Source organism: Homo sapiens, chromosome 3 (assembly GCF_000001405.40).
Source record: "Homo sapiens chromosome 3, GRCh38.p14 Primary Assembly".
NCBI classification, from domain to species: Eukaryota; Metazoa; Chordata; class Mammalia; order Primates; family Hominidae; genus Homo; species Homo sapiens.
In genome coordinates this window covers 65,185,402-65,194,057 of record NC_000003.12, presented here as the reverse complement: position 1 = coordinate 65,194,057, position 8,656 = coordinate 65,185,402, and the positions used below count along the sequence as shown (strand labels likewise).

General features: G+C 39.4%; 1 long non-coding RNA gene across 2 annotated transcripts in view; it reads right to left on the bottom strand.

The window, feature by feature from the left end:
- Positions 1-554: 554 nt before the first annotated feature.
- LINC02040 (long intergenic non-protein coding RNA 2040) overlaps positions 555-8,656 on the bottom strand; it is an 18,565-nt gene continuing 10,463 nt past the window's right edge. Inside the window, exons 2-5 of one of the 2 annotated variants that reach the window (NR_183715.1) lie at positions 5,162-5,352; positions 4,692-4,789; positions 2,495-2,654; positions 555-787 (exon numbers count right to left, since the gene is read on the bottom strand). This is a non-coding gene — a long non-coding RNA (long intergenic non-protein coding RNA 2040). The remainder of the gene's footprint in view (positions 788-2,494; positions 2,655-4,691; positions 4,790-5,161; positions 5,353-8,656) is intronic. The other variant, NR_183716.1, reaches the window with a different exon arrangement.

The window sequence follows — 8,656 nt, the reverse complement described above, 5'->3', positions numbered from 1 at the left end:
CCCCTGGAGTAGAAGTCCTAGGTCATAGGAAATATATATATATATATATATATATATATATATATATATATATATATATATATATATATATATATATATATATAGATGTAATTTGCCTGAGTAGTTCCAGATTGCTCTACTATGAAAACTTGCCTCTCTGCACAAAGCTGATTGGCCTCAGGTGGACAGCTGATCCAGGCTGAGTCCGTTGGATTCCCTCTAGAAATTTAGAGTCAGGAAAGGGAGTCTGTCTAATCATTTGACTTGGGGATCTGCGGTCTTGAGAGACAGGGGTGGGGCCTGTTTCTGTCACGCATGCGTAGAGTGACAGAGAAAGCCTTTCTACAAAGAAACGAGTGAAGTGAGCTGTGATGAGGTGAAGAGAGGAGAGACCACCAACGGCAGAATTGGGGAGATCCGGGACTGGCAGTCTTGATTCATTCTGGCTTTCTAGTGCTTGGGTCTCATCCGTACTGAACAGTTTCCTCCGTTCTGAGTTCCATAGTGTGTTCTTGCACATTCCCCACTCCAAAGCAAGACACAATGAATTTCCATTACTTGTGACCAAATGAGCTTTTAATATAAAAGAGATTAATCCCCCTGAAAATCAATAACAAACCCAAATTTGATCTGAATATTTTACGAAGTTTGCTGAAACCTGTGTTCTACAGGTTTTGATAAAGGAAGTTTTGGTTTTGAAGAAACGCTGAGTATTATCCATTGATTTTCTCATGAGAAATGGGATTCTTCTGTCAGATATAGGCAGTAAATATTCATTCTTGAATTTCTATTAAAAGATAAAAAAATAAAACAATAACATATATTAGAAAAATTTTACAGGACCAATACCCTATAGAAATTAGATAGCAACTAGCAAATGTGAAGACAGCTGTTTTAATGTGTGACTTTCAAGTAACCTGGTTGGCATCATGTACAGAGTGTATATATGGTGAGTTGAACTTTTCCTATTTAAATATTTTGTATCATAGTATATATATTGCCCTTCTGCCTTTGGCTGTAAATGTTAGCATAACCTTTAACATTGTAGGCTTTTCTTTTCTTTCTTTCTTTTTTTTTTGTGATGAAGTCTCCCTCCTGTCACACAGGCTAGAGTGCAGTGGTGCAATCTCGGCTCACTGCAACCTCCACCTCCTGGGTTCAAGTGATTCTCCTGCCTCAGTCTCCCACGTAGCTGGGATTGCAGGCGTGTACCACCACGCCTGGCTAATTTTTGTATTTTTAGTAGAGATGGGGTTTTGCCATGTTGGTCAGGCTGGTCTTGAATTCCTGACCTCAGGTGATCCACCTGCCTCATCGTCCCAAAGTGCTAGGATTACCGGCATGAGCCAGCGGCCCAGCCCATTGTAGGCATTTCTTTAGTCAAGTGATTCTTCTCAATCCTGTCCTTTCACTAAAATGTTTGGATGGTTATACTCAGGTTTGGGTGGTCATTAGCTTTTCATAACATCTTTTCATAAGGCTGGTTAAAAAAATGTCTGAGTTGTGTTGGGCCAGATATATGGGAGTAGATGGATTTAGTATCATTGAAAATGGTTGCCCTCTTTTATGACTAAGAAATATATGCAGGCAGTGAAAAGAAATTCTTGATGGCAGGACATAAAAATATGGTTGATAAAATGCCAAGATACCTTTTCTTCTTCTGGGTAGCAACAACACTAAAGGTAAATACTGCTGTTGCTATAGTTTTATGAAGAAAATGGTTTTCTTCATTCTGTTTCATTGGGACTACCCTGTTCACCCTCCTTTATATCCTGTCTGAGGGTTGTTTCATCTTCTGTGTAGTTGTTGCCCAATAATTTTATCTTTTCTTTCCTCCCATTGTATTTTTCTTGGTTCATAGCCCATCAGTTGTGAATCTCAGATAAAATGTAGTAAAAATTCATATTTATGGCTAGGGAAAATCAGAATCAGGTGGTTTGCAGTTAAAGAGAAACAGGTTCATAATGGCAAAAATCTAGCAAAATCACTTGCGAACCTAGAATATATCAAGGCCTCTTTCTAGAAAAAATAAGAAAGATAAGTAAAAATGACCAGGTGCTTTCATTTGAACATTTCTGCATGGTCAATGCATAGATCAGAAAAAAAAAATTGAGGTGGAAGGGAAGCAGTGGCCAAAGGCCTGTGAGTTTACCAAAAAGAAACTTTTTTTTTTTCCAGTTTGTAAGCTCTTGCTTTTCCCAGGAAGATAAAAGGCAGAATTTCAAAGCCACATTTTTTTTTTTTTTTTCTCCCAGGAAATGTTTTTGTGTTCGTATTATTGTTACAAAGTTAAACTTTTTTCTCTTTCTTGAACAAATGAATGGCTGGATTATGCCACATGTTGAAGTTGTTAACCTCTTTTAGTAATTTAAACTTTATGAATCAGAATAAGTGAATGAGGGCATTCTAGTCCTTGGCTTCCAGGTTATGGGACAGCCCCTCTCACTGAACTTGGACTTGTATGGATACTCTCCTTCCTGTGAACAGAACTTGCCTTCTGAAATCAGACGTCTTGGGGGAGAGAATGTGGTGGTCATCTGTTGGCTACCAAGCCTTTCTTCCTGTGAGAGTTGCTTTTAAAATAGGTAGGATTTGGGGGAGTAACTTGCGGGAACAGAAAGCTGCAAAAAAGCCAGCAAAGCTTGGCCAACAACCTAGGGTTTAAAAGAAATGTGAAAATTTCATTGCATGCTCTACAACTCCTTTTTACTAACCCCTAGCATAATTCATGCATTCTTCTGCCTGCTTGGCCCCTATGGGGATTTTGTAATTCCTGGTTTAGAGGATAGACAAATGGCAGCCCAGACTATTCACTCATTCATTCATCCATCAATCCATCCATCCATCCATCTATCCCTTAACAAAAGTTTACTTAGTGCCTTCTCTATGCTAGGCACTGTGTTACATGTTGAAGATGAAACTGCAAGCATTATCAAGTCTCTGTTGTCCAGGAATTTAGAGTCTGGTCCAAAAGATAAGCATTACTCTTAGCAATTCTACTGAGTGGGTGCATAATAAGAAACAATTAGAAACATATTTAAGCCCTGTAAAGGAATGAAACTGGCTCTAGACTGGGAGAAGGAATGTGATAAAAAGATTCTTCCCAGCAGAATAACTGAGCTAGGATCTTAAGAAGAAGCAGGGGTTAATGGGAGAGAGAAGGGTGTGAGAGGACACTGTAGACTACGGAGGCAGTGAGCACAAGGCCATATGACACCAACAGCTTGGTATGGCCCACAGGACAGTCAGAGGGCCAGAGCAGCTGAGCACATGGGGAACTGGCTGCATTTGAGGCAGATGAGCTACATGCACAGTGGGCATCTCTGCGAGGGCCTCACAGACTGATTAGGGCTTTTGCTCATTATCCTAAGAGCCATGGGAAGTCATTGAAGGAACATCAACAGAAGGCAGTGCGGTGACATGGTAGATGTTTCACAAGGGACACTCTGGCTGTTAAGTGGAGAATGGAGGAGAATATAGCAAGAAGGAAGCAGTGAGACAGGAGTAGGCTAGGCTGTCTCTAGGAGAGAATGGTGGCTTTGTCTAGTATGGTGACAGGGAGCTAGGACAGTGGTTGGCAATCAATTGATGGAAAATAACAATAGACAGCCCTAGGTGATAGTTAGGTGTAAGGTGAGGGAAAGACAAGGGCAGGCATCAAGAATGAAAGATTCCGAGATTTTTGCCTATGGAATAGGAGGGATGGTAGTACATGTTGGTGCAGTAGGTTATTATGGAGGGTGAACAGCCCTGCTGTATCTTAGTCACTAGTGTCTGGCAGCCTCCCTCTGTTTGTCTGTGTTTCATTTCCAAGTCAGTCTTCTCTGAGCTGCAATTTGAGACATGATGTAATGCAGAGATTTTGAAAGGTGACCAGTAGCAAAAGGAAGAACAACCTTTTACCAAGCACTTATGTGCCAGGCAGTGAGTTAAGCATTGGGATTCCAGGAGTGAGGAAAATGAGATCACGTTCCTGCCCTCTAGGAGTGTCCAGTCTAACAAGGTAGACAAATAGTAAATAATTATGATAACTTTGTTAGTGATTTTTGTTTCTGTGATACGTACCATGAGAGTATGGCTAAGTGAGCTGATCTGCTCTGGTGGGAGGGGGCAGGGTCAAGGTAGGTGGAGAATTGCAGCTTAAGTGAAGACCTGAATGATTAGTTGGCAATGAGAAGAAAAACAAAACCTTCCAGAAAGAGGAAATAAACATTTTTTAAGGTCTAAACGAATAAAAAATATGAAATGTTTAAAGAACTGGCAGAGATGTCCTTCTATCTGATGAAAGTGGGGGATACAGGAGACAGTGACTTCTGTCAGGAGTGGAGTATAGACAGGTTCTGGCAGATTGGTGCTCCTGGCTTTCACTTACTTGGCATCTGAGAGCTGTTTTTTGCCTCTTCTCCTCATTCCTTAGAACTCAAAGGACACACGAGGAACTGAATTGGGAGAGGCTTGGCACTAACAAAGCAGAAATTGTCAAGGGAAGGGGGAAGAGGAACTATCTACCAGTGAGAGCAAGGAGGGTGGTCTCTGGGAAGAGCTTTTGACTCCCTATTTCTGACTCAAGCCCTGATTCATCCCTTTTATTTTTTGCAATTAGCTTCTTGGTCTGGGATAATTTTATTTGATTACCCTTTAGTTCCCATTAGTTTCTGAGCTTATTTTGACCAGGGTTATAGAAAATGTACCATATGGTAACCAGCTTCTTCAAGTCACCCACAGAAGTGTTTTCTCTTGACTACTTCCCTGGCTGCCTTCTCCAGATGACGTGGCTGTCATTCTTGTCCTGGGTGAGAAAGGAGATTAAGATGGTTTATGAGAAATAAGAAGTCACAGTGAAATAGTCTCAAGGCACCATGTACCTTGCCAGTTTTCTGTTCTAACATGTATTATTTGGTATAAGGATACCCTATAATTCTTAATTTTTTATTTAAAAATTTTTCTCCAGTCTCTTTTCTCAGCTTTAACCTCTTTGACCCACCCAACAGAGCACTCTTTTATTGTGTTTTAAGTTCCTTCTGTGGACTACAAGAAAAATAGGCCTTATGAAGAGCTCTGCCTCATAGAATAACTTACTTGAAAGGAAGAAAAGTGTCAGGGAGCATTTTAACCTTTCTCATTTTCTAGATACACTCAGCTGAACATTAATTTGAGGTACCTCTTTAGGAAGGAGATCATGCATGTCTTATCTCAACGGCTTTTCTGATAATTCGAGCCGTGTGCCTGTTCCGAGATTGGGAGTTTCTTCTTGGGCGGTTCTGGGGACAGCATGATTGGTTATATGTTGGAAATGAAATAATCTCCCACTTGTACAGTTTTGCTATCACAGATTTTCAAGCAATTGCTCCTCTGTATGAATACAGAAAAACATAAATAGCTTTTAGGTTTGTTTTGCAACAGATTAGGCACCCTCGATCTTTTTCCTTGGTGTATGCACATGCACGTGCCTTTATGTGTGTGAGTGCGTGTGTGTGAGTGCGTGTGTGTGTGTGTGTGAGGGGGGCAGCAGAGAAAACACATTGCCATGGGAAGAGTGCACAGGACAGGGAATTCGAAATTCCAAATTAGAATCTTGGCTCTGTTTGTCTTCCAGCTATCCATGTAACCCTGAGCAAATCATCCCAATGCCCGAGATTCAATTTCTTCATGTGTAAAATGGAAATAACAATAATAATAATAATTCCCACCTACTTCATCAAAACACTGTATTGAAAATATGAACAAATGCTTTATACATATGAGAAGACAATTATTAGAATTACTGCTTCTCTCTCTCTGGGTAGTCATTCATTCATTGGTCCCTTCATTACCGAAGGTGGGGAGTGGCATGATCTGACTTGCTGGTAGAGCACGGCATGGAGGAGAGCTCAAGTGGAGGTAGGGGTGCAGGACTGTGGTGGCTGCAGTTATCCAGGAAAGAAAGAGCACAGCGGTGACAGAGAGGTTGGAAAAAAGTGGAGAATTGAAGATAAGATAGAGTGGACTGATTAGAATTTTTATGGGGGAGACAAAACTTGAGTTTAAATCATTCAAGAATAAGGTGAGTTCTTGGGGACAAATATGTAGAAAAGTGTGCTCTGGGAAGGAATAGGTCAGCGAGGATTGGGTGGAAACTACTCCTTGTTTTGTTTTTAATGTCCAAAGTCATACATTTAGAAACGCAAAGGAAGAAAGTTGTTTTCCATGTAAAAGATCACAAGCCATCAAACTGATGATTTTTCGTTGTAAGTAACACATGGCATGAATAATTTCTTTATTAACTTCCAATCACTTTGAACTAATTTCTCACAGTATGGCAATGACAACCTCATAACCCCAAAGAAACTTAAACCTTATAGCATAGTTGAAAATGACTTTTATGTTTTATTGAACAAAAGGATCACTTAAGGGAGAAACACAATGTCCATGGAATACAATAAAACACAGGCTCACATTGGCTGGTACACGCTCATTGTTAATAGAATCAGAATAAACACATCAATACCAAACTATGCAATAAAACCTGCATTATTAATCTACAGAATGGTAATAGAGCTATTACCTGATTTACTTATTCTTTTTTTAAAAAAATATTGCTGAGTGGCAAATGTACAGCATGTGGATATGAGTCAGGTGTTTTGAAATACCACAGCAGCAGACAGTACGTTTTGGAGACTGTGATTGAATTGAATGAACTACAATAAGTAGGTCTACTTTCATTACATTCTCTACTTCTAGATCTGCTAGTAGATATTTTTTATGAGAGGAGTTAGTACACCATTATTATTCCATTGAAATAAATGAAGGACACATGTATATATCACTTTTCATTAGCAAATTATTGTATATTATCTAGCTATATTTGGGAGAAAATATTTTTTAAATTTCCTAATTATTCTTGCATTTGGTAGGCATTTGTTTTACCATATGGGAGACATTGTTCCAGGCATGGAAATTCACGGAGGACAGGCAGATATTATTTCTGACCTTCTGAATGGGAAGACTGACACATACCCCAAAATGAAACATGCCAATTAGTAAAATAACTGCAAGTTGTAACATTATGCAGGGCCTAGTATATGTGAGAGGGCTTTGGGCTTTAGTCTGAGTATGATGGGTAGGTTATGTAAAGTTCTGGGCAAGGGAATGTTGAGATCAGGTATAGTTTAAAGACTATAATTTTGCTACCTGGTAAAGAATAGATTGGGCAGAATAGAATAGCCAGTAAGTGAAATACAAGAGGCTCAACATCATTAGTCATTAGAGAATGCACATCGAAACTATAATGAGATACCACAGTGAGATATCACTTCACATCCACTAGGAAGACTGTAATCAAAATGACAGGTGTAGTAAGTGTTGGCAAGGGTGTGGAGGAATTGCTAGTGAGAATGTAAAATAGTGCAGTCACTTTGGAAAACAGGCAATTCATCAAAACGGTAAACACAGAGTTAACCATATGACCTACCAATTCTACTCCTATGTATATATCCAGGACAATTAAAAATATGTGTCCACAGAAACACTTGCACATGAATGCTAATAGCAGCATTATTCAAAGCAGCTAAAAAGTAGAAGTAAACTAAATGTTTATCAGCTGATAAATGGATAAATAAAATGTGGTATATCTACACAATGGAATATTATTCAGTCATAAAAAGGAATGAAGTTCTGATATATATCACAACTTGGATGAACCTTAAAAACGTTATACTAACTAAAATAAGCCAATCAGAAAAGACCACATAATACAGGACTCCTTTTATATGAAATGTCCAGAATATGCAAATTCATAGAAACAAAAGGTTGATTAGAGTTTGTCAGGGGTTTGGGGGTGGGGATGAGGGATGACTGACAATGGGTACAGGTTTTTTCGGGGGAGCAATGATAATGCTCTGGAATTAGTGTTGATGTTTGCAAAACTCTACAAATATACTAAAATGAATCATATATTTAAGTGGATGAATTGGATGGTATGTGAATTGTATCTCATTACAGATGTTGAGAAGAAGAGAAAGATAAATGAAAGGGGAGACCAATGAGAACATGTGTTACGTGACTGCCCTCTCTTCTTGCTTTAGGTCAGAACTGGCCAGGCCATGGAACTGCTCTAGGGGAATGAATGTGCCAAATATATAAGTACTAGCAGTCAGGATTCCCTCCATGTCTCCTTCTGTACCTCATGTACCAGCCCCACAAAATGACTTGCCATTTCTCTGAGCGAGCCATGCACTTTCTTTCTACTTACCTTTGCTGAGGTGTGACTATGCTTTCTTTTCTTTTTCTCTCTACTAGGAAAAAAAATCACCAGTTCTACAAGCTTAGTTCATATTCCCCCTTGAAACTCTCCTTGGTTGCCTGGCCCTATAATACGTCATTCCAATTTTCTGTAAGCCCTTGACATGTGGCTTGTGCCTCTGCAAGATCTCAGCCATATAGCATTTCAAAGACTCGCTTTGAATTCTCTCTTTCTCTATCTCCTTCTCTCCCTTCCTCCCTTTTATCTTTCTTGCTTTCCTTTCTCTCTTTCTCTCCAACTCCTGTCTCTGTCTCCATCCACGCATTTTTTCACAACCAAAAGGAGTTTCTTTGCCACTTTAAAGTCCCTACACTTCTCTCCTGTTATCCAGTATCCATAGTTCTGTTCACCATTGGTTTCCTAAGTAAGGCTATA